General features: G+C 35.9%; 2 long non-coding RNA genes across 11 annotated transcripts in view; one reads left to right on the forward strand and one right to left on the reverse strand.

Annotated features, from left to right (window-relative positions):
- LINC00871 (long intergenic non-protein coding RNA 871) overlaps nt 1-4,539 on the forward strand; it is a 437,745-nt gene extending 433,206 nt beyond the window's left edge. For all 4 annotated transcript variants that reach the window (NR_102701.1, NR_102702.1, NR_102699.1 and 1 more), the window contains one exon: nt 3,943-4,539. This is a non-coding gene — a long non-coding RNA (long intergenic non-protein coding RNA 871). The remainder of the gene's footprint in view (nt 1-3,942) is intronic.
- LOC124903309 (uncharacterized) overlaps nt 1-25,994 on the reverse strand; it is a 98,633-nt gene that overhangs the window by 10,344 nt on the left and 62,295 nt on the right. The window lies entirely within an intron of this gene.

Raw genomic sequence — 25,994 nt, forward strand, 5'->3', positions numbered from 1 at the left:
TGTATATGTGCCACATTTTCTTTATCCAGTCTATTATTGATGGACATTTGGGTAGGTTCCAAGTCTTTGCTATTGTGAATAGTGCTGCAATATACACACGTGTGCATGTGTCTTTATAGTAGAATGATTTCTAATCCTTTGGGTATATACCCAGTAATGGGATTGCTGGATCAAATGGTATTTCTAGTTCTAGATCCTTGAGGAATCGCCACACTGTCTTCCAGAATGGTTGAACTAGTTTACACTCCTACCAACGGTGTAAAAGCATTCCTATTTCTCCATATCATCTCCAGCATCTGTTGTTTCCTGACTCTTGAATGATGGCCATTCTAACTGGCATGAGATGGTATCTCATTGTGGTTTCAATTTGCATTTCTCTAATGACCAGTGATGATGAGCATTTTTTCATATGTCTGTTGGCTGCATAAATGTTTACTTTCGAGAAGTGTCTGTTCATATCCTTTGCCCAATTTTTGATGTTTTTTTTCTTATAAATTTGTTTAAGTTCTTTGTAGATTCTGGATATTAGCCCTTTGTCAGGTGATAGATTGCAAACATTTTCTCCCATTCTGTAGGTTGCCTGTTCACTCTGCTGATAGTTTCTTTTGCTGTGCAGAAGTTCTTTAGTTTAATTAGACCCTATTTGTCAATTTTGGCTTTTGTTGCCAAAATTGGTGCTTTAGTAATGAAGTCTTTGCCCATGCCTACAAACTGAATGGTATGGCCCAGATTTTCTTCTAGGATTTTTATGGTCCTAGGTCTTATGTTTAAGTCTTTGATCCATCTTGAGTTGATTTTTGCATAAGGTGTAAGGAAGGTGTCCAGTTTCAGTTTTCTGCATATGGCTAGCCAGTTTATCCAATAACGTTTATTAAATAGGGAATCTTTTCCCCATTGCTTTTTTGTGTCAGGTTTGTCAAAGATCAGATGGTTGTAGATGTGTGGTGTTATTTCTGAGGCCTCTGCTCGGTTCCGTTGGTCTATATATCTGTTTTGGTACTAGTACTGAGCTGTTTTGTTTCTGTAGCCTTGTAGTATAGTTTGAAGTCAGGTAGCGTGATGCCTCCAGCTTTGTTCTTCTTGCCCAGGATTGTCTTGGCTATGCGGGCTCTTTTTTGGTTCCATATGAAGTTTAAAGTAGTTTTTTCCAATTCTGTGAAGAAAGTCATTGGTAGCTTGATGGAGATGGCATTGAATCTATAAATTACTTTGAGCAGTATGGCCATTTTCAAGATATTGATTCTTCCTATCCATGAGCATGGAATATTTTTCCATTTGTTTGTTTCCTCTCTTACTTCTTTGAGCAGTGGTTTGTAGTTCTCCTTGTAGAGGTCCTTCACATCCCTTGTAAGTTGTATTCCTAGGTATTTTATTCTCTTAGTAGCAATTGTGAATGGGAGTTCACTCATGATTTGGCTTTCTGTTTGTCTATTATTGGTGTATAGGAATGCTTGTGATTTCTGCACATTGATTTTGTATCCTGAGACTCTACTGAAGTTGCTTATCAGCTTAAGGAGATTTTGGGCTGAGATGATGTGATTTTCTAAATACACAATCATGTCATCTGCAGAGACAATTTGACTTCCTCTCTTCCTATTTGAATACCTTTTATTTATTTCTCTTGCCCGATTGCCCTGGCCAGAACTTCCAATACTATGTTGAATAGGAGTGGTGAGAGAGGGCATCCTTGTCTTGTGCCAGTTTTCCAAGGGAATGCTTCCAGCTTTTGCCCATTCAGTATGATATTGGCTGTGGATTTGTCATAAATAACTCTTATTATTTTAAGATACGTTACATCGATACCTAGTTTATTGAGAATTGTTAGCATGAAGGGGTGTTGAATTTTGTCAAAGGGCTTTTCTCCATCTATTGAGATAATCATGTGGTTTTTGTGATTGGTTCTGTTTATGTGATGGACTACATTTATTGACTGCATATGTTGAACCAGCCTTGCATCCCATTTTGTTGGAGCATACACTTAGGGTTGAACTTCCTCATTCTCTGTCCTAAATAAAGTCAGTTCCTTTGGGGTGAGCTGCAGTGCATTCTGTTCCTGTATTCTTTCCCCAAGGAAAAATTCTGATTTATTGCTTCAGAGTTATGATCAAGACAATGACCAGATCCTCTTGGAGTTACATACCTGTTTTATGAGCAGAGTTTTCAGCATAATCCTCTCGTCTTCCCAGCTTGCCTCTCCTCTGTGGAACTTCCATATTATGACAGAGTTGGGTCAATGGCTATTGCGGTATTAGTGTTCTTGGTCTGTGATGCCTGGAGTTAGAGCCTCTGCTCTAAGGATGGGTGCCAGGTGGAAGATTGGGGCTTGAGATATCTTGGCTAACCTCATTTGGAATTTAGCCTCTGCAAAACAGAGCTCAAAGAGATGAAAAATGATGGCAATCTGCTTTTTCTGGTGACATATAGTAGCCATTGATGGGGAGCTGGGACAAAAAGAATTCCTGTCTTGGTGTCCACACCTGCCTAGTGGAAAGTCTGTCATGCTGAGGGGGAGGGGTGGGGGCAGAAGGATTAGGCTGTAACTCAAGTCTGACAGACTAGCTGTTCTTACAGAGATTTAGTAAATTTCCATGACTAAACGTTTCTTGGTTTGCTCTATTCCCTTGTGGCAATTTTCAGGGACTTTGAATGTTTCTTTGTGTTTTTTTAAGTAATTTTCACCACTTAATGGTTTTTCACTGGGAATAGGTTAAATTATTATTTATAATGTATATTAAATTTCTATTTCTAGTCTAACAGTGTCATTGAAAGCCTTTTTTATATTTTCATGCACATAACAAATCTATTTATCTGTGGAAGGCCAGATTATATGAAGAAAATATTTTCTGGTATTACTTTCAAAACGTACATACTTCTTTTTATGATTTAGTTTTTTTATTGTTTAACAGCCCTATTGTGTGAAAGGCTTTTAGAGGCATATTGAATTATGTGTTACATATCATAACATTCTAATTCTGAAGAACGGAATTTTTGGCAGTAACTTACCAAAAGATTATAGCTCAGAAATTTCTAGGATTAATGTCCATTGCTCTATCTCTTTTGTGTAAAATGGAGACAATTGTTCAGTGTTGTTATGAGGATTAAATTAATATATGCAAAATAGTTAAAAAGAGTACCCGGCACATGGTATGCACCCAGTAAATGTTGACAATTGTTGCTGTGATTATTGTAGTTGTTATTCTTGTGAATGAAGATGGCTTGGTGGTGAAACATAGGTTTAACAATAAAACATTTTTGCCAGTATAGATTTTGATTTAAAAATATAAGGAAAGTTTCATTTTCTTTTTACTCTAAACATTAGAGTTTTCTGAGAGGGTAGAGATATAAAATTAGCATTGGCTCATATTCAATCTTTCACAAAGAACAGTTATTGATACACTCACCCTCTGGTTTAAAAGCTCACTGAAATTCAAAGGAATGTAGTAATTTCTTTGATTCCAGTTCACATCATGAAGCCATCTTTTGAGAAATGCTATTGCTTAGCTTTGGAGCTGAATAGAGATTCTTTCTTTTTGAATTCTACTTCATCCATGTTTCTAATCTGTTTTCTATACTGATCTCTTTGAGATTAAACAATCTTAAATCAAAGCTTTATTTGTTTGAGCTATAGAATGTGCTGCAATTATTTAAAAATCACAGGCTTCTTCTGTACTCAGCAGCTGGTACAGATTTTGAGAAAAAGAAGTCATGAGTACAAAGGGACAACACAAACATCAAATATGATGATAAATTTGGCTTATTCACTACCTTGATATTAAATTTCCAACAACTTAACTTATATGAAGTATATTTGTATTTATTTTTTTTCCAAAAAATTATTCCAATACGAGCTCAAGAATATTGGTTGAAATTATGAGTACTATAATATTGAAGTTATTATTTGCATATGTGAAACTAATATAAACCTTTATCATTTTTCATCAGGTACTTCAATAGGATGTTGGAAAAGAAGACTTCCACTCTAATAGGATGAAAAAATGATCATTTATTTACATCATTCTGATTTCTTTTAATTGCTTCACAATCCACTATAAAGAAGATTCGCTCTGACCCTAAATTTTCTACTTTTTTTCCCACTTTTCTCTCACATAAATTAGGTGTTTCATTCTTTTTCCTCCTTATTATTTTATTTACACCATTCTGTGTTGAGCACAGAAAGGTGGAAGTATATAGCCCTGTTCTCTGTTTTTAATGCTCTGTATATTTTTGTTTCCTTTTCTGTGGAATCAGTTTTTCATTATCCTTATAGAATCAGTTTTTCATTATCCTTATAAGGAGATGCCATTTTTCTCAATCTTTCCTTAAAATCTAACTAACTTCTTTACTAAGTCATTTCTGTTCCTTATAGAATAGTGAATGTGACTGTTCTTAGTGTATTGACTGGTCCCTTTACATCAGCATTGTAACTTTTAGGTATTAGTTTACTTTCATATGATTGTTATTTCATATATCATTGTGAACATATTTTTTTCCAAAAATAAAATACATATTGACCTAAAAGAAATTGCATCTAAAAGAAAACCTGCCTAATGTGCTACATTTTGATATTTCAGAGGAATTACTTTTAGTCTAATTCTTGTAATCTATAATCCCTTTTTATATAGTGGTTTATGCACTAGTTTGTGAACTGATTGATTGTAACTGGTATGGGAGGTAAGGCGCTCACAAAAATATGTAGATTAATTATGTGTTTTTTTTTTTTTTGTAGAAAGACATTTTCTATCAAAGATACAGTGTATTTATTTCCATTCTAGAATAAGCTCTCTATTGCCTAAAATACTGGTAACAGTCTGTAGGCTGGCACTGGTTCACAGACCCCATTTTGAGGTCTATAGCATTGCTATAGAGAATTCTAATACTCTCTTTAAAACCATGTACTTGAGAAAAAACTTTATATTGCCTGTGCCTGCCTATAGAAAAAATTATAAATTTACTTTCTGTGGGTATTTTTTGGCATTCTTAAAATTACAAAATCTTGATTTTGTCAACTACAAGTGTACTGATTATAAAAGTGTTCTTTTCTTTCATAGAAATAAACATGGCTTTATGGTTGAGAAATTGTATCTTCAGGGTACAACCTAGAAAATAAATAAATAGAAATATGCTAACTTTTCAAAGGCGATATCAAACAGGGAATTGATTAAAAAGTGTTTGTTAGAAGGACTGGTGTAACAAAAGGGAGAATTGTTAGCAGAACACAGAGAATAAGTGTGTTTTCCAGAAAACTACAAATGCCACTGGACTAGAATCCAGTAACTAGTGCCTACTGCTGGTCTGCAGTAGGGCAGCTGTTCAGGGGCTGAAACTGCTAAAAATGGATACCAGAGCTATGCCGGTACTTGCTTACCAAACCAACACTAAGGAAGTCTAGCCACTGATGGAACTGCTGGAATTCTCATTCACCTAATCTCATCCAAGCTATAGCAACACCAGCAATTTCCAGCAGCTACCAGCAATTGCCACTGCTGTCTATACTAAAAGCTTCTCAGTTCTAACAGCCTTCAAATTACCTTCCAGAGGCAAGAGGCAGCATGGTGAAAGCAAGAGCAAGAGAGAGGAGAGAGCAGCCACACATTTTTAAACAAGCAGATCTCACTATCACAAGGACAGTACCAACAGGATGATACTAAACCATTCATGAGAAACCGCCCCCCATAATCCAGTCACCGCCCACTAGGCCCCACCTCCAACACTGGGGATTATAGTTCAACATGCGATTTGGGTGGTGACACAGATCCAAACTTTATCACAGGCCAAGGTCAAGGCTTGGTTGAGAAGAAGGCTCAGAGGAGCCTGACCAAAATTTGTTGTGCTTGGTATTACCAAATTAATACCAATCCATTGATGTGTCCAAGATGCCCAGTTTTTCACATTTACAAACCAGCTATGTTTTCAAATGTGTTCACCTTTGTCAACCAGATGTGCAAAATTAGGGTGTCTCCTTACAAACTTTCTGCTAGTGAATATCAAAACTCGTAAATGGATGCATCATCTTTTCTAATAATATATCTTAAATTAAGTAATTATGGATAAAGGGCAAGGCATTTATCAATATGTTGTTTATAATAGTGAAAAATGGGGAAGTAGCCTAAATATGCCTTTGGGGATTTGTTAAACAAATTGTAGCACATTCACAGGATGAAATTATTTGTAGCCATTAAAAATCACACATAAGAGCTGGCAGGGTCACTCATGCTTATAATCCCAACACTTTGGGAGGCTAAGGCAGGAGGATTGCTTGAGCCTAGGAGTTCAAGACCAGCCTGAGCAACATAGGGAGACCTCATCTCTACAAATAAAAAATAAAACAATTAGCTGGGCATGGCGTGCCTGTAATCCCAGCTACTCAGAAGGCTAAGGCAGGAAAATCACATTTTGGAAGTGAAGCTGCAGTGAGCTGTGATCACACTTCATCCTGGGCAACAGAGCACAATCTTGTCTCAAAAAAAAAAAAAAGAAAGAAAGAAAGAAAGAAAAGAAAAAAAAATCAAGCATAAAATTTTATGAAATGCCTGTTTTTGAGTTTATGGGGTCCCCTCCCCCATTTTGGTCCCATCCAAAATCTTACAGAAATTACTGCTCTTTTGCATTAAAATTTTAAATTATTCAAATAATTGGCATATATATAAAAACATGGAGACAAAAGTGAAATACTAACACTTTCCCCACTTATTCCCGTTTCTAGTAATAACTGCAGCCAGCTATGTGAAGACTAGCAGACCTTTTTCTAAAATGCATTTCATGCAGTCCTTTGGGTTTTACTTTTTTACTGAAGTAACACATGAATAAATTCTCAGTCTTCAACTGTGCAAACAACACAAAATTATGTGGACTAAACTTCCCTGTCACTTTTTGGCCATAAATACTACTGCTTTCTCTAGAGGAAACAACCATGAACATGCTGATTTCTCTCTTTTAGATCTTGTTTTAAGAATTAAAGCTACTCTAATAACTAACAAGAAAGGTGTTTTTAATTATTTTCTTTTTAATTAGCATTATGAAAATTTAAAAGAAAAAAGATTTAAAATTCTTTTAAAATTTAAAAGAAAAAACAAAAACAGATTACCTTTCAGAACCTCACATTGTCTGATCATAACAGAAAGCAAGTGTTTAAGGGAGTCTGGGAAATGTAACTTGCAGGCTCACAGCCATAGCAGTTCAGACTGCAAAAGGACCAGTACAAAAGCACAATTAATACCTTTGGCTACTTGCATTCATATCTATACTTCTATCCAATTTAAACATATATTGGAGATATATACACAGACACACACACACACACATATATGTAAACATAATGCAATATATATATATATCCATTCCCATTTTTAACCTTTATACATAATACAATAACAATCAAAAGGTCATGATTCCACCTAACAGGTTACAAGATATCCTCAGGAAAAAAAAATATATATATATATTTCTGCAGTAGTCTGCAGTTGCTGAATATATATTTATATATACATATAATATTATCAATCTTGGTAATGTCAGTATCTCTTATAGTTCAGTCATCATTTTACTAAGATATTCGTTAACACAAATAATGGCTAGGTTGAGAAGTCAAAATTAACTGTCACCCTGACTGTTTGCATAAAATAAAAGAAAAATGGTTATGTCATATATAACAATAAAGAAAACAATTATGCAGAGCTGTCAAAATCCTTACTTCTGTAACTGGTCATAAGGCCTCCTCAGTAATTATACATAATTTTCTTCCTCCAACACTGGTCCTGCTTTTTTGGATTGTTTAGTCTACCATGCTGAAGATGACAGTGAAGAGCTGTCCAAAGGAATCTCATGAATTCCCCATATCCCCTTGCGACCAGTTTTTCCTGTATGGTGTCTATTAATCACGCTAGTCAGTATAGTATTCCCTTTTTTGCCTATTAGTTTCAGTGTCAAAAGAATCTCAGATGCCCTCCTTAAAACTGGACTGGCATTGTGTCTCTTTTTAATAACTATAATGCAGCAGCACTGGCCTTGTGTTAATTTCACAGCCTAGGCCTTAAGAAGCCTTGTGACTTATGCTTTCCCTCTGTTGGAATACTAAAACCATCATGCTAACCCCATTTAGGAAAGAGAAACATGGAAATACCTCATTTCCCCAAATGGCATTCACCATCAACTGCCAGACAAGTCAGTGAGGCCAACTTGGGCCCCCTAGCTTTTAGTCAATCATCAAATGATTGTAGTTGCATAAGTGATCACTGTCAAGACCAGCAGAACTCCCCAGAATCCCATCCCACTGAGCTATGAAAAATAATAAATCATAGTAGTTTTGATTACTAATTTGGGGATTATTTATTGTGTACCAAAAGATGACAGATACACAGCATTTTCAGTCAAGAAAATCTACTATCAGAAAAGAGAAGAAAGATTGCTTTTGCTGGCAAAAAAAGTCATGGGGATATTTAGCTTTCCAAGATGATCAGATTCACCAGAATCCCCACAAATATTTACATTTCTACTCTAAGAGTTCTACTATTTCCCAGGCAAAGTATTAATTTTCATCAAAGATACCTAGCAAGAATCTATACTGCATAAATGTTTCAATTCCCAAACTTACAAAATTAACTTTGGTGTCTGATTTTCCAGTCATATTACACCTGTGTCTATAAAGATTAGACTTATAGAGATGAGAAACTATTTTCTGTGCCTTGAGCTGAAAGGTTAAATCCTTGAGGCTGATATTTTACTTTATAATTTTGCAATTTAAGTCAGAAACAGCCATCCCCATCCCATAATGTTAAAGTTATGATTACTTATTTGATGGTAATATTCAACAGATACTTGGTTTCCAAAAGCCTTGCATGTGGTTACATCCAGCTGTCAGAAGTCTACTAACATCTCTAGGTTAGGACCCAGAAACCCAAACCAGCTGTGGTACAGCTGTAGCCACTGCCACTGTAAGTGTTAGAACAGCCAAAGGGCCGAGGGCCATAATCACTGATGGTCACACATCCTTACCATTACTGTGTGACAGTACTATAGCAAAGAGAAGAAGTAAAATGTTTTCCTTTTCCTCAAACTCTCTTCACCCCAAAGTCCTTCCCATTGATATTAGATAATAAGAAATCATTTGGCAATGGAATCTGAGAAATATAGTTTATTGCCTTCTAGTCTTACAGATATATAATCAGAATACAGATGCAGTAGCCTGAGAGGTGACAAATAACCAGAAGACAGATATTTTCCACCAAAGAGATTGCTTTGAGTTTCATTAAAATGATTCTTCTATTAATTGTCAATGGCATCCTAGGTAAAGCTAATTTTGGGGGAATTAGATTTTAATTAAGGTATTAAATGAGGAATTAGACTAAAATGATTTCCAGTTTCCCTTTATCCTCTAAAAATGGCTGCTGATAAATAATGATGTATCAGTTTAGCTTTCTGACTGTATGTAGCACTATCAATAGAAGGGGAATGTAAGCCAAAAATGTCACCCACATTTGTGATTTAAAGTTTTCTAGTAGCCACATTAAAAATGGTAAAAACAAACAACTGAAAATATTTTTTATAATATATTTTACTTAATATATTCAAATTATTATCATTTTAACATGTTATCAGTACAAACACAATTTATCATATAGTTAATATACTTTTGTCATACTAAGACTTTACAGTGTGGATGTATTTTGGACTTACAGAGAACACCAGTTGAACTAGCCACAATTCAAATGATCAAGAGCTACATGTTGATGGTGGCTATCATATTGACTAGTGGAAATCATAGCACAGATATGAATAATCTTTTCTTTTGTAGACCAATGCAGTATGATACTTTTTTTACTCTTTTTCAAATAGTATATTTTATTGCCGATGACTACAAAGTATTTATTATTTGTTAAAAAATCGAAAAGCTCTAAAGTTATAATAATAGTAATGAAGTAACTTACAGAGTAATGCAAGCACCCAACTTTAAATTTATTGTACTAGAAAGCAGAATTGTAAATAACTACTTGTTAAAAGTGTAATACAGAGTTTTTTATGTATTTATTTTTTGAAACAGGGTCTCATTCTGTTGCCCAAGCTGGAGTGCACTGGCGCGATCTCTGCTCACCACAACCTCCGCCTCCCAGTCTCAAGTGATTCTGCTGCCTCAGCCTTCTAAGTAGCTGGGATTACAGGCACACCCCCACTACCACTAGGGACATTTTTGTATTTGTAGTAGAGCCGGGGTTTCACCATGTTGGCCAAACTAGTCTCAAACTCCTGATCTCAAATGATCCACCCACCTCGGCCTCCCAAAGTGCTGGGATTACAGGCATGAGCCACCACACCTGGCTTGAGTTTTTTAATATATTAAAATATAAAATAGAAACCAAAGTTTTCTCAAATAAAGTTAAGAACGATGTATAGCACATAGAGCAAAATGAAGTACAAACTTTGAAATCATAGTTTTGAATCTTTATTTCAACATTTTTTCTGTTAACTGTAGGAAGTTATGTTTTCTTCCCTCAGATTCCTCACCTGTGGAAATGAAAGTGCCATTTTATCAGGATTATGAGAATTGTCTGAGATACTGAACACAGATCATGACATTATCTTGGACAGGAGTTCGTAATATAACCTTTGTGAAAGTGCTGAACTTTAAATTAGTAATTGACAGCAATATATACAGTGAAAGGGTAAAAACTCATTTTGACATACTTAGTAAGAATAGATTAGATAAAATAGTATGACATGTAAATATATGGCGTAATATAAAAAAATTATTGCCATGAGCCATGATATATATATATATGTTTGTGTGTGTGTGTGTGTGTAAGTGGCTGCTAATGACAAAATTTGCACACACACACACACACACACATCCTCAATAGCCACATGTGTTAAGTGACTACTGTTTTGGACAGTGCAAGTATAGATTCCAAGTTTGACGTGGAATCCTAATTTTGTTCACTTTTCTTGCTCTGCGTCCTTGGACACATTATTTAGCACATGTGCTAAATAAATGAGTATGCTCAGTGGGAAGAAGAAGAGGAGGAAGAAGGAAGAAGATGGGGAGGAAACTTCCATAATTTATCGTGAGGGCTAAATGAATTATGATATTTAAGGAGCTTAGAACAGCCCCTAGCATATGTTAAACACTATGTAAGATTTTTCATTAATTGCAACATAGTTTTCTGCAAAGAGGTGATACATACCTGTGTTTAAGAGGATCAGTTTAAGGGAGCCAAGATGGCCGAATAGGAACAGCTCCGGTCTACAGCTCCCAGCGTGAGTGACACAGAAGATGGGTGATTTCTGCATTTCCCTCTGAGGTACCAGGTTCATCTCACTAGGGAGTGCCAGACAGTGGGCGCAGGACAGTGGGTGCCGCGCACTGTGCATGAGCCCAAGCAGGGCGAGGCATTGCCTCACTCAGGAAGTGCAAGGGGTCAGGGAGTTCCCTTTCCTGGTCAAGGAAAGGGGTGACAGACGGCACCTGGAAAATCTGGTCACTCCCAACCTAATACTGCACTTTTCCGACGGGCTTAGGAAACGGCGCACCAGGAGACTATATCCCGCACCTGGCTCGGAGGGTCCTACGCCCACGGAGTCTCGCTGATTGCTAGCAGGGCAGTCTGAGATCAAACTGCAAGGCGGCAGCCAGGCTGGGGGAGGGGCGCCTGCCATTGCCAAGCTGTGAGTAGGTAAACAAAGCTGCCCGGAAGGGAAGCTCAAACTGGGTAGAGCCCACCACAGCTCAAGGAGGCCTGCCTGCCTCTGTAGGCTCCACCTCTGGGGGCAGGGCACAGACAAACAAAAAGACAGCAGTAACCTCTGCAGACTTAAATGTCCCTGTCTGACAGCTTTGAAGAGAGCAGTGGTTCTCCCAGCACACAGCTGGAGATCTGAGAACGGGCAGACTGCCTCCTCAAGTGGGTCCCTGACCCCTGACCCCCGAGCAGCCTAACTGGGAGGCACCCCCCAGTAGGGGCAGACTGACACCTTACATGGCCGGGTACTCCTCTGAGACAAAACTTCCAGAGGAACGATCAGACAGCAGCATTCGCGGTTCACGAAAATCCGTGTTCTGCAGACACCACTGCTGATACCCAGGCAAACTGGGTCTGGAGTGGACCTCTAGCAAACTCCAACAGACCTGCAGCTGAGGGTCCTGTCTGTTAGTTTTCCTTCTAACAAACAGAAAGGACATCCACACCAAAAACCCATCTGTACATCACCATCATCAAAGACCAAAAGTAGATAAAACCACAATCATGGGGAAGAAACAGAGCAGAAAAACTGGAAACTCTAAAAAGCAGAGCGCCAATCCTCCTCCAAAGGAACGCAGTTCCTCACCAGCAATGGAACAAAGATAGATGGAGAATGACTTTGATGAGTTAAGAGAAGAAGGCTTCAGATGATCAAACTACTCCGAGCTACAGGAGGAAATTCAAACCAAAGGCGAAGAAGTTAAAAACTTTGAAAAAAATTTAGACGAATGTATAACTAGAATAACCAATACAAAGAAGTGCTTAAAGGAGCTGTTGGAGCTGAAAGCCAAGGCTCGAGAACTATGTGAAAAATGCAGAAGCCTCAGGAGCCGATGCAATCAACTGGAAGAAAGGGTATCAGTGATGGAAGATGAAATGAATGAAATGAAGCGAGAAGGGAAGTTTAGAGAAAAAAGAATAAAAAGAAACGAACAAAGCCTCCAAGAAATATGGGACTATGTGAAAAGACCAAATCTGCATCTGATTGGTGTACCTGAAAGTGACGGGGAGAATGGAACCAAGTTGGAAAACACTCTGCAGGATATTATCCAGGAGAACTTCCCCAATCTAGCAAGGCAGGCCAACATTCAGATTCAGGAAATACAGAGAATACCACAAAGATACTCCTCAAGAAGAGCAACTCCAAGACACATAATTGTCAGATTCACCAAAGTTGAAATGAAGGAAAAAATGTTAAGGGCAGCCAGAGAGAAAGGTCAGGTTCCCCACAAAGGGAAGCCCATCAGACTAATAGTGGATCTCTCGGCAGAAACTCTACAAGCCAGAAGAGAGTGGGGGCCAATATTCAACATTCTTAAAGAAAAGAATTTTCAACCCAGAATTTCATATCCAGCCAAACTAAGCTTCATAAGTGAAGGAGAAATAAAATACTTTACAGACAAGCAAATGCTGAGAGATTTTGTCACCACCAGGCCTGCCCTAAAAGAGCTCCTGAAGGAAGCACTAGACATGGAAAGGAACAACCGGTACCAGCTGCTGCAAAATCATGCCAAAATGTAAAGACCATCGAGGCTAGGAAGAAACTGCATCAACTAACGAGCAAAATAACCAGCTAACATCATAATCACAGGATCAAATTCACACAAAACAATATTAACTTTAAATGTAAATGGACTAAATGCTCCAATTAAAAGACACAGACTGGCAATTTGGATGAAGAGTCAAGACCCATCAGTGTGCTGTATTCAGGAAACCCATCTAATGTGCAGAGACACACATAGGCTCAAAATAAAAGGATGGAGGAAGATCTACCAAGCAAATGGAAAACAAAAAAAGGCAGGGGTTGCAATCCTAGTTTCTGATAAAACAGACTTTAAACCAACAAAGATAAAAAGAGACAAAGAAGGCCATTACATAATGGTAAAGGGATCAATTCAACAAGAAGAGCTAACTATCCTAAATATATATGCACCCAATACAGGAGCACCCAGATTCATAAAGCAAGTCCTGAGTGACCTACAAAGAGACTTAAGACTCCCACACAATAATAATGGGAGACTTTAACACCCCACTGTCAATATTAGACAGAACAACGAGACAAAAAGTTAACAAGTATACCCAGGAATTGAACTCAGCCCTACACCAAGCGGACCTAATAGACATCTACAGAACTCTCCACCCCAAATCAACAGAATATACATTTTTTTCAGCACCACACCTATTCCAAAATTGACCACATAGCTGGAAGTAAACCTCTCCTCAGCAAATGTAAAAGAACAGAAATTATAACAAACTGTCTCTAAGACCACAGTGCAATCAAACTAGACTCAGGATTAAGAAACTCACTCAAAACCGCTCAACTACATGGAACCTGAACACCCTGCTCCTGAATGACTACTGGGTACATAAAGAAATGAAGGCAGAAATAAAGATGTTCTTTGAAACCAATGAGAACAAAGACACAGCATACCAGAATCTCTGGGTCACATTCAAAGCAGTGTGTAGAGGGAAATTTATAGCACTAAATGCCCACAAGAGAAAGCAGGAAAGATCCAAAACTGATACCCTAACATCACAATTAAAAGAACTAGAAAAGCAAGAGCAAACACATTCAAAAGCTAGCAGAAGGCAAGAAATAACTAAAATCAGAGCAGAACTGAAGGAAATAGAGACACAAAAAACCCTTCAAAAAATTAATGAATCCAGGACCTGGTTTTTTGAAAGGATCAACAAAATTGATCCTTTAGCAAGACTGCTAGCAATTGATCCGCTAGCAAGACCAAGAAAGAAAAAAAGAGAGAATCAAATAGACGCAATAAAAAATGATAAAGGGGATGTCACCACCAATCCCACAGAAATACAAACTACCATCAGAGAATACTACAAACACCTCTATGCAAATAAACTAGAAAATCTAGAAGAAATGGGTAAATTCCTTGACACGTACACTCTCCCAACACTAAACCAGGAAGAAGTTGAATCTCTGAACAGACCAATAACAGGATCTGAAATTGTGGCAATAATCAATAGCTTACCAACCAAAAAGAGTCCAGGACCAGATGGATTCACAGCCGAATTCTACCAGAGGTACAAGAAGGAACTGGTACCATTCCTTCTGAAACTATTCCAATCAATAGAAAAGGAGGGAATCCTCCCTAACTCATTTTATGAGGCCAGCATCATCCTGATACCAAAGCCAGGCAGAGACACAACCAAAAAAGAGAATTTTAGACCAATATCCTTGAAGAACATTGATGCAAAAATCCTCAATAAAATACTGGCAAACCAAATCCAGCAGCACATCAAAAAGCTTATCCACCATGATGAAGTGGGCTTCATCCCTGGGATGCAAGGCTGGTTCAATATACGCAAATCAATAAATGTAATTCAGCATATAAACAGAACCAAAGACAAAAACCACATGATTATCTCAATAGATGCAGAAAAGACCTTTGACAAAATTCAACAACCCTTCATGCTAAAAACTCTCAATAAATTAGGTATTGATGGGACGTATCTCAAAATAATAAGAGCTATCTATGACAAACTCATAGCCAATATCATACTGAATGGGCAAAAACTGGAATCATTCCCTTTGAAAACCGGCACAAGACAGGGATGCCCTCTCTTACCACTCCTATTCAACATAGTGTTGGAAGTTCTGGCCAGGGCAATTAGGAAGGAGAAGGAAATAAAGGGTATTCAATTAGGAAAAGAGGAAGTCAAATTGTCCCTGTTTGCAGGTGACATGATTGTATATCTAGAAAATCCCATTGTCTCAGCCCAAAATCTCCTTAAGCTGATAAGCAACTTCAGCAAAGTCTCAGGATACAAAATCAATGTGCAAAAATCACAAGCATTCTTATACACCAATAACAGACAGAGAGCCAAATCATGAGTGAACTCCCATTCACAATTGCTCCAAAGAGAATAAAATACTTAAGAATCCAACTTACAAGGGACGTGAAGGACCTCTTCAAGGAGAACTACAAACCACTGCTCAATGAAATAAAAGAGGATACAAACAAATGGAAGAACATTCCATGCTCATGGGTAGGAAGAATCAATATCATGAAAATGGCCATACTGCCCAAGGTAATTTATAGATTCAATGCCATCCCCATCAAGCTACCAATGACTTTCTTCACAGAGTTGGAAAAAACTACTTTAAAGTTCATATGGAACCAAAAAAGAGCCCGCATCGCCAAGTCAATCCTAAGCCAAAAGAACAAAGCTGGAGGCATCACGCTACCTGACTTCAAACTATACTACAAGGCTACAGTAACCAAAACAGCATGGTACTGGTACCAAAACAGCATGGTACTGGTACCAAAACACAGATATAGATCAATGGAACAGAACAGAGCCCTCAGAAATAACACTGCCTATCTACAACTATCTGATCTTTGACAAACCTGAGAAAAACAAGCAATGGGGAAAGGATTCCCTATTTAATAAATGGTGCTGGGAAAACTGGCTAGCCATATGTTGAAAGCTGAAACTGGATCCCTTCCTTACACCTTATACAAAAATCAATTCAAGATGGATTAAAGACTTAAACGTTAGACCTAAAACCATAAAAACCCTAGAAGAAAACCTAGGCATTACCATTCAGGACATAGGCATGGGCAACGACTTCATGTCTAAAACACCAAAAGCAATGGCAACAAAAGCCAAAATTGATGAATGGGATCTAATTAAGCTAAAGAGCTTCTGCACAGCAAAAGAAACCACCATCAGAGTGAACAGGCAACCTACAAAATGGGAGAAGATTTTCACAATCTACTCATCTGACAAAGGGCTAATATCCAGAATCTACAATGAACTCAAACAAATTTACAAGAAAAAACAAACAACACCATCAAAAAGTGGGCAAAGGATATGAACAGACACTTCTCAAAAGAAGACATTTATGCAGCCAAAAACACATGAAAAAATGCTCACCATCACTGGCCATCAGCGAAATGCAAATCAAAACCACAATGAGATACCATCTCACACCAGTTAGAATGGCAATCATTAAAAAGTCAGGAAACAACAGGTGCTGGACAGGATGTGGAGAAATAGGAACACTTTTACACTGTTGGTGGGACTGTAAACTAGTTCAACCATTGTGGAAGTCAGTGTGGCGATTCCTCAGGGATCTAGAACTAGAAATACCATTTGACCCAGCCATCCCATTACTAGGTATATACCCAAAGGACTATAAATCATGCTGCTATAAAGACACATGCACACGTATGTTTATTGTGGCACTATTCACAATAGCAAAGACTTGCAACCAACCCAAATGTCCAACAATGATAGACTGGATTAAGAAAATGTGGCACATATACACCATGGAATACCATGCAGCCATAAAAAATGAGTTCATGTCCTTTGTAGGGACATGGATGAAATTGGAAGTCATCATTCTCAGTAAACTATCACAAGAACAAAAAACCAAACACCGCATATTCTCACTCATAGGTGGGAATTGAACAATGAGAACACATGGACACAGGAAGGGGAACATCACACTCTGGGGACTGTTGTGGGGTGGGGGAAGGGGGGAGGGATAGCTTTAGGAAATATACCTAATGCTAAATGACGAATTAATGGGTGCAGCACACCAGCATGGCACATGTATACATATGTAACTAACCTGCACATTGTGCACACGTACACTAAAACTTAAAGTATAATAAAAAATAATCTTTTAGATGTCTAGTTGTAAATAAAAACTCATAGTAAATTAAAAAGAGGCTGTTTACCTTTATTTTAAGCAAACTTTAAATGTAAAATTCACTTTATATCTTATAAGGAAATACAAAAGGGTCTCTGAATTATGACTTGTCACTAATCTCTTTATAAATTTCATGAAGCTCCACTCCAGCCTGGGTGACAGAGGGAGACTCCATCTCAAAAAAAAAAAAAAAAGATTCATGAAGCTCAACTGATAAGAACCAATAACCACTACATATTGAAATTCTTTTAGACTATATTCCCTGGGAAACAGAGTCTGTGAAAAACATACATGCTGAGGTAGAGAACAGAAAGCAAATACAAGGTGCTGAATTCCTAAGCTGGCCAGAGTATCACAAGAAAATGCAGTTGCATCCTCAAACATATGGCTTCTTCCCATCAGTTTATATGTAACTGTTGTTTTTTGGAACAGTCCCTGACAGAGAAGGAAGGAAAGCATATCTGTCAGTTCCTTCCTATCTTCATAGTTTACTCTGAGAGGCAGTAGTCTTATCCTTCAAAGACATTTGCAGTTGGTATTATCTGGTATCTTTGGACACATACTGCAGTATCCCATTTTTTATTCCCCATGTTGGGGCAATTCATCAGGGGTCAGAAGTGGTTAAAAAATAATAAGCCAGTGAGTCCAGTGTGGTTAGACTTCCTGCTGATGCCCGTCTCTCACTCGGAAAGGGCTGAGTGCCAGCAGTGAGAGGAGATAAGACAATAAGGACAGTGGCCCCATGTCTCCAGTGAAGAAGCTGCTAGGGCTGAGGAAGAAAACAGATTGAGCAGATCTGGAATGGTTTATGAACTGAATCTGACACATAAGTTAATTTAAATAATTACAGATGTAGCAATTTAGACATCTTTATCTAATCCTAGATCCCTACTCCAATTTTCAAAAGTAAATGCTACATGGAAGCAAATAGTTTCAGAGAGAGTAAACTCAGGGAACCAGAATCTAGTGGTAGCACTTCATGATTCAGTGTTTGTTTTTCTCCTGCTAAGAGGAAATTCAACCAATCACTAAGTGAACAAATGCATAATATACCTCAAACATCTTGCCCACTTACTATGTGTAAGATATGATATTGGACTCTGGCAAAATCAAAGATAAATAACATCAAATGGAACTCAATAAGCTTACAGCCTTTTGAAAATGAAAGACATCTAATCAACCTAGTTCCAAACAATATTAGAAGCCAAAAAACAAAAATATTCTACTTAGTCGTGCCAAAATGAAGGGTTTATCTAGTTCTCAAAGAAGGGAAGATGCCTAATATTTCTCAAAAAGGATAATTACAAATGTTCTATGTTGAAAAGTATGACAGGAATAACACAATATTACAAGATTCATCTGGGTTCTAGACTTGGTTTTATTATATTTTAGTTCTAGGGCTTCAGGGAGTGAGTTACTCTCTCGAAGATTTGTTGCCTTTATCTGTAAAATAAAGAGATCGGAGCAGACTATATCTAAAGTCAATATAACCATATATGACCAACCCACACCTAGTACATTGAACAGAAAAAAATGGAAAGCCTTTTCTCTAAGATCTGAAATAAGACAAGGATGCTGCTCACTTTCACCATCTTTATTCAACATAGTTCTATAAGTTCTAGCCAGAACAACTAAACAAGAGAAGGAAATAAAGGACACCAAAATTGGAAAGGAAGAAATCAAATTTTCCTTGTTTGCAAATGATATGATCTTAAATGTGGGAAAACCTAAAGACTCCACCAAAAACTATTAGAACTGACAAATTCTGTAAAGTTTTAGGATACAAAATAAAAGTTTTAGGATACAAAATAAACATACAAAAATCAGTAGCATTTATATATTAAAACAGCCAACAGTCTTAAAAAGAAACCAAGAATATAATCCCACTTACAACAGCTACAAATAAAATACTTAGAAATAAACTTAATTGAAAAAATGAAAGATCTCTATAATGAACACCATGAAACACTGATGAAAGAAATTGAAAAGAGGACACACAAAAAATGGAAAGTTATTCAGTGTTCATGGATTAGATGAATCAATATTGTTAAAATTCCCATACTATCCAAAGCAATCTACTGATTCAATAGAACTCCTATCAAAATACCAATGATATTTTTCACAGAAATAGAAAATAATAATGCTAACATTTACATGGAACCACAAAAGACCCAGAATAACAAAAGCTATCTTGAGCAAAAAGAACAAAACCAAAGGAATCACATTACCTGACTTCAAATTATACTATAGAGCAATAGTAACTAAGACAGCATGGTATTGGCATAAAAACAGACACACAGACCAATGAGACAGAAAAGAAAACCCAGAAATAAATCCACACATTTACAGTCAACTCATTTTTATCAAACGTGCCAAGAACATATATTGGGGAAAGGATGGTCTCTTCAATAAATGGTGCTGAGAAAACTGGAGATCCATATACAGAAGAATGAAATTAGACCCCTATCTCTCACCATATAAAAAGACATATTAAAATGGATTAAAGACTTAAATCTAAGACTTGAAAATATGAAACTACTATAAGAAAACATTGGGGAAACACCCCAGGATATTGGTCTGGGCAAAGATTTCTTAAGACTGCTAAAGATTTCTTGAGTAAGATCTAGGCAACCAAAGTTAAAAAGGACAAATGGGATCACTTCAAGCAAAAAAAGCTTCTGCACAGCAAAGGAAACAATCAACTCAATAAAAAGACAACTCACAGAATGGGAGAAAACATTTGCAAACTACCCATGTGATGACAAGGAATTAATAACCAGCATATATAAAGAGCTCAAACAACTCAATAACAATAAAAATAATGCAAATTAAAAATGAGCAAAAGATCTGAATAGACATTTCTCCAAAGACGATATAAAAATGACCAAGAAGCATATTAAAAAAGTTCAATATCACGAATCATCAGGAAACTGCAAATTGAAACTACATTGTGATATCATCTCACACCCTTTAAAATGGCTTTTATCAAAAGTCAGGAAATAAAGGAGGCTGGCAAGGATACAGAGAAAAGGGAACCCTTGTACACTGTTGGTAGGAATGTAAATTAGTGCAGACACTATAAAAAACAGTATGGAAGTTCCTCAAAAAAACTAAAAATAGAACTTCCATATGATCCAGCAATCCCACTGCTGGTATATATTTTAAAAATCAATTTATTGAAGAGATATCTGCACTCCCATGTTTATTAAAGCAATATTCACTATAGCCAAAATATGGAATCAACCCAGGTGTCCATCAGTGAATGAAGGAATAAAGAAAATGTCATGCATATGCACGATGGAATAGTTTAGCCATAAAAAAAGTAAAAATCCTGTCATTTGCAACAGCATAGTTGGAACTGGAGATTATGTTGAGTGAAATAAGCCTGGCACAGAAAGGCAAATATCACATGTTCTCACTTACATGTGGGAGCTAAAAAATATTGGACTAATGGAGATAGAGAGTAGAATGATGATTACAGAGGCTTGAAAGGGTAGTGGGGAGGGAGAGATGAAAAGAGGTTGGTTAATGGGTACAAAAATACAGTTAGAAGGAAGAGCTAGTGTTCAGTAGCACAATATGTCTACTATGGTTCACAATAATTTACGGTATATTTCAAGATAGTAAAAGAGTGGAATTGGAATGTTCGTAACACAAAGAAATGATAAATGTTTGAGGTTAAGGAAAATCTAATTACCCTGGTTTGATCATTGTACATTGTATGCTTGCATTAAAATATCACATGTACCCCATAAATATGTAAAACTACTATGTATCCATAATAACTAAAAATAAAACGTTTTAAAAATATAGTCGATTTATCCCTAAAATTATAAATTTCTTTGTGTTTTAGGAATACCTGTCTATATAATCTAAGATTTTGAGTTGCACCTTCTAAACATATCTCACATTTATATTTCCCCCATTTATTTTATTTTTGAAAATATGGTAACTTTTAAAAAGAAAATGTTTTTCCTCCCTCCTTTTTTAATGTTACAGTTCATCATTTTTTACCATTACCATTACTTGCCATGAATCTTTAATTCTAAGTCAGCTTTTCTGCCTTGAAGCAAGGCATTTGCTTACCTGGCTTTTGATTAGTGTCTAGATGAGCTCCTAATACTTTTCAAATAAACTGCACTTTACTATATTGCCTTGTTGGTCTTTCTTATAAATAACTTTTTACTCTTTTATTTTCTTCATCTTTCAAATTCTATTTTCAGATATTGCACATCTCTTCAGAAAGTAGAATTTTATTTTCCCTTTGAGAAGTTGCTGCCTTGGTGGTGATTTAGTTGCACATTAGATTAGTGATTGTTATAAATAATATAATATTAAGATAGAGTAGCATCTATATAGTCTGTTATACCTTGAAGTGGTTTCCTGACCACTTGATTTTTTAAATTGATTCTTGAAGTTAAGAAACCTGGTTTTCAAATAGAGCTACATTTAACACCCATGGTGGGGAGCCAACATGAAATTGCCACATATGACATTTAATTATAAGATCTTTATATATAACAAGTCTAGCATATGTATGTCCATATTCTAAGCAATACTGAGCATCTGTGAGCTACAAATAAATTTCTCTTAAAGATCCCAAAGTCACTCTAGGAATGAGGCATTTGACAAGTGAAGTGTGGGAACTTTTTCTCAGGTTATACTTGGTGAACTATTTCATAAAACTCATTTAGTGATTGGTTGAATTCCTCTTGGCAGGAGAAGAACAAATAGTGAATTATAAAGTGCTAACACTAGACTCTGGTTCCCTGAGCTTACTCTGTTGGAAGCTATTTTCTTTCATATGGCATTAAGTTTGAAAAAGTTAGGAGTACAGATCTAGTATTTAGGTTAAAATTTCCGGTTCTATTTTCCACAAAGTATCCAGGACAAGAACAATAGAATTATATACCTTGTCACATTAGATATCTAGTTGCTGGTGATAAATATTGCCAGATACAACATATTGCCTAGTATAAAGCAGGTTGTAGCAAACGTTGAAACAATTGTTATAGGGAAGGCAAAATTCCACCTCCATTCATTTAGGGATCCAGCTCAAGAAATAAATTTACATAAGATAGATTAAAATGAATAAGAGCATACAAATGTACTTAATACAAGTTTTACAGGTCATGCAAGCCCTCACAAGAAAATAAAGACCCAAAGAAGGAATTAGAATCAATCACTTATGTAACAAATTTGACAAAGAATAATAAATTATGAAAATGTGATAAGGCAAAGGGGCTTGAGCCAGGACAGTTAATTGGGTAGAAAAGTGGCCAGGAAGATATGAATTAAGTGTAACAAGGTTTGTACAAATTTTCTTTGGCTTCAATTTTACATCTTTGATGATAATAATGCGATTTTTCTTCTAAGATAGGGAGAACATCTTTCACATGAGACTTTCATCTCTTGCTTTTAAGAAGGCACAAAGGTCAAAGTGATCTTCTTATAATTGTTATTTTTCAATTGCCTTTAACTTAAATAATTAATATGCCAGAATTACATATTGTGGATGGCATATTCTTAACTCCTTCACTTTAAAACTGAATTAGAAAAATGCCTTATTTTGGCAAGAATTTTGTTGTTTCACTAATTACTATAACTTTTGTGCAAAGTATGGTTCCTGGCCCCATAGAAGTTGCTCAGTAAGTATTTTGCTTGTAAATATTAAAGTGAATTTTAGTCTCTATGTATATCCATAGCTATATATATATCCATAGCTTCAAAACCTCTGAGTCAGTTTCAAAATATTTGAAGACACTTTTTGTAAAGATATGAGGATTGGCCTAATAGTCAGAATAGACTTCAAGTATGGCTCTGCTAAAAATAAGATACGTGACTTTGAATAAATTATTTATTTTTGTTGATATTCAATTTCGTGATGAGTAAGATGAGTGAGTTGAAAAAGAAAATTTAATATTACATTGATAGCAAAGATTCTTTAATTTGTATTGACTTTTAAAAACAATAGCAAATGATATAAAATTTAAACATATGAGAAAGTAAAATATATGAAAAAACATACAGTGTACAGTCATGAATAAATGGAATTAAATTGTTGTATGATTCTAGAATCTTTAGAAAAATATTAGGTTGGTGCAAAAGTTTTTGCGGTTTCTTGCCATTACTTTCAATTGCGGTTTCTTGCCATTGAAAGTAATGGCAAGAAACCGCAATAACTTTTGCACCAACCTAATAGTAAAATAGTAACAGTGCTATGGTAAATGAAGAGTGTATATTTGTAGTTCATAGGCTAACCGTTAAAGAATAATACAACATATGACTAAAACATATTTTGTGTGTGTATGTGTTTGCTAAACCCTATAACAAATATTTTTAGTCTGGATAAGAAAAAATAAGAAATTTATGCAGTTACATATATATATACCATACTATAAATATTAAGGACACAGAAATATTGAAAATAAAAGGACAGAAAAAAAAATACCACACAAACACTAAATAAAAGGAAAGCTAGTCTACTAAAATAAGAGAGTACTTTGAGATGAGAAATATAATTAGCAAAAAAGAGGAACATTTTATGATGATGAATGTATTGATTCAAAAGGAAGACATAACAGTGCTAAATATGGATGCACCTGAAAAACAAAAGAACCAAATATGAAACAATAAAAGGAAGTACAAACAAATCCACAGTTGTATTTGATATTTTAACACAATGTTCTCAGTATCTGGTACAATGAGCTGATCAAAGAAATAAGGATTATGTATTATTATTATTATTATTATTAGCAACTTGATCCTGTTGGAATACATAAAACATTACTTCCAACAAATATATAACACATTCAAGTAGACATAGAAATTTATTAAAATAGACCATATGTTGAAATGTAATAAAATTTTAAATGATGTTCTCTCTATGTAAACTTAAAATAGAAATTAAGTTGTGAAGATAGACAACTCCTAAATATTTGGACAACACTATGCTAAAAAAAACTTAGGGGTCAAAGAAGAAATCACAATGGAATTGAGAAAATATATTGAACTGAATGTTAATGAAAACAGGTCTTCACTAACGGTAGCAGTTAAACAGGATTTGACTGTTAAAGATTCACAGGACCCCAAATGACAATGCTTATAAATCTATGATTTATTGTAGGGAAATAATACAAAATTGGAACAAGTAAAACTTAGGACAGTAGCCAAAGGCTGCCTCACAGTTAGAAGTCTATAGAGGATAGGCACAATCTCCCATTCTTCTCCCTATGTAGGGTCATCATTGACATTCTTCTCTCTCAGATCTTAAAGCACCAATATGTGGATGGAACACCCTTGAATCCAGGGAGCCCAAAATAGAGTGTAAAACCTATTTCCTTCTGATCATGTAGGCATTTTCATGCTGCATAGACACCTCAATGGTAGACCCCTCCAAGGTTTTACCTAAGATCAGGCACAAATAATCAGTCTCACTGTTATCAATAAACAATGCTGACAAGCAGTTATAAAGCACCCCAAACCTCACCTTGGACACATGGTTACAAAAAAACACTAATCAGTATATTCATCTCTTGACCAGGAATGACTACCATTTAAGCACATTTATTACTTCGACAAAATAGCCCACACCAATTCAAGGCCTAGTAAAATTAACCCTCATAATACAAGGGCATTATTCCACTTGCAGGGATGCAGCTGAGGAGCTGAGGCATTGCTCAGAGAGAAATTTATGATGCTAATTGTATACATTGACAAAAAGGTAGACCCCAAAGATATAGATTTCTGTCTTAAGAAGATGGTAATAGAAGAGCAAACTTAAACCAGAGGAAGTAGAAAGAATGAAATAATAAAAATAAAAACAAAATATAGAGATAAAATCTAATTGCAAATATATGATCAAAATAATCAAGAGACAGAAGATTCTTTTGTCAGGTTAACAAAAATAAAAAAGCCTCCTTCAAGTTAATCAGAACAAAGAGAGAAGATAAATGATCAATACTGTCAATGAAAAAAATGGAATACTACTATGATAGTAAGTCTAAAATACAAACAAATTTTTGTCAATAAATATAACAGTTTGGAGAAAATGGACAAAATCCTTTGAAAAACACAACTTGCCATAACTGAAATAAGAAGAAAAACAAACCTGAATGAGTTTATCTTTATTGCAAAATACAGAACATACAATCCCAGATGATTATACTGGCCCAGGAGAAATACAATTCCAGGCCCAGATAATTATATTGGCAAATTCTTGCAAATCTTAAAAAGGAAATGATACAAACTTCCATATATTATTTCCCAAAATGAAAAAAAAGAGTGTACCCTTCCACCTCATTTATGAGGCCCCAGAATTTTTTAATCAAACCTAACAAGGACACTAATAAGAAAGGAAAATTACTGGCCAATATTTCTCATGAACATAGGCACTAAAATCCTGAAAATGACATTTGGAAATTGAATCCAGAGATATATAAAAAGAATAACTCATCATGATCAAGTAGGGTTTATTCCAGGAATGCAAGTTTGGATTAATATTAAGAAATCATTCAATGTAGTTTATCACATTAACAGATTAGTGGAATGAAGCCAGGTAATCATCTCAATAGATGCAG

The sequence above is a fragment of the Homo sapiens genome, chromosome 14 (assembly GCF_000001405.40).
Source record: "Homo sapiens chromosome 14, GRCh38.p14 Primary Assembly".
In the NCBI taxonomy this organism is placed as follows: Eukaryota; Metazoa; Chordata; class Mammalia; order Primates; family Hominidae; genus Homo; species Homo sapiens.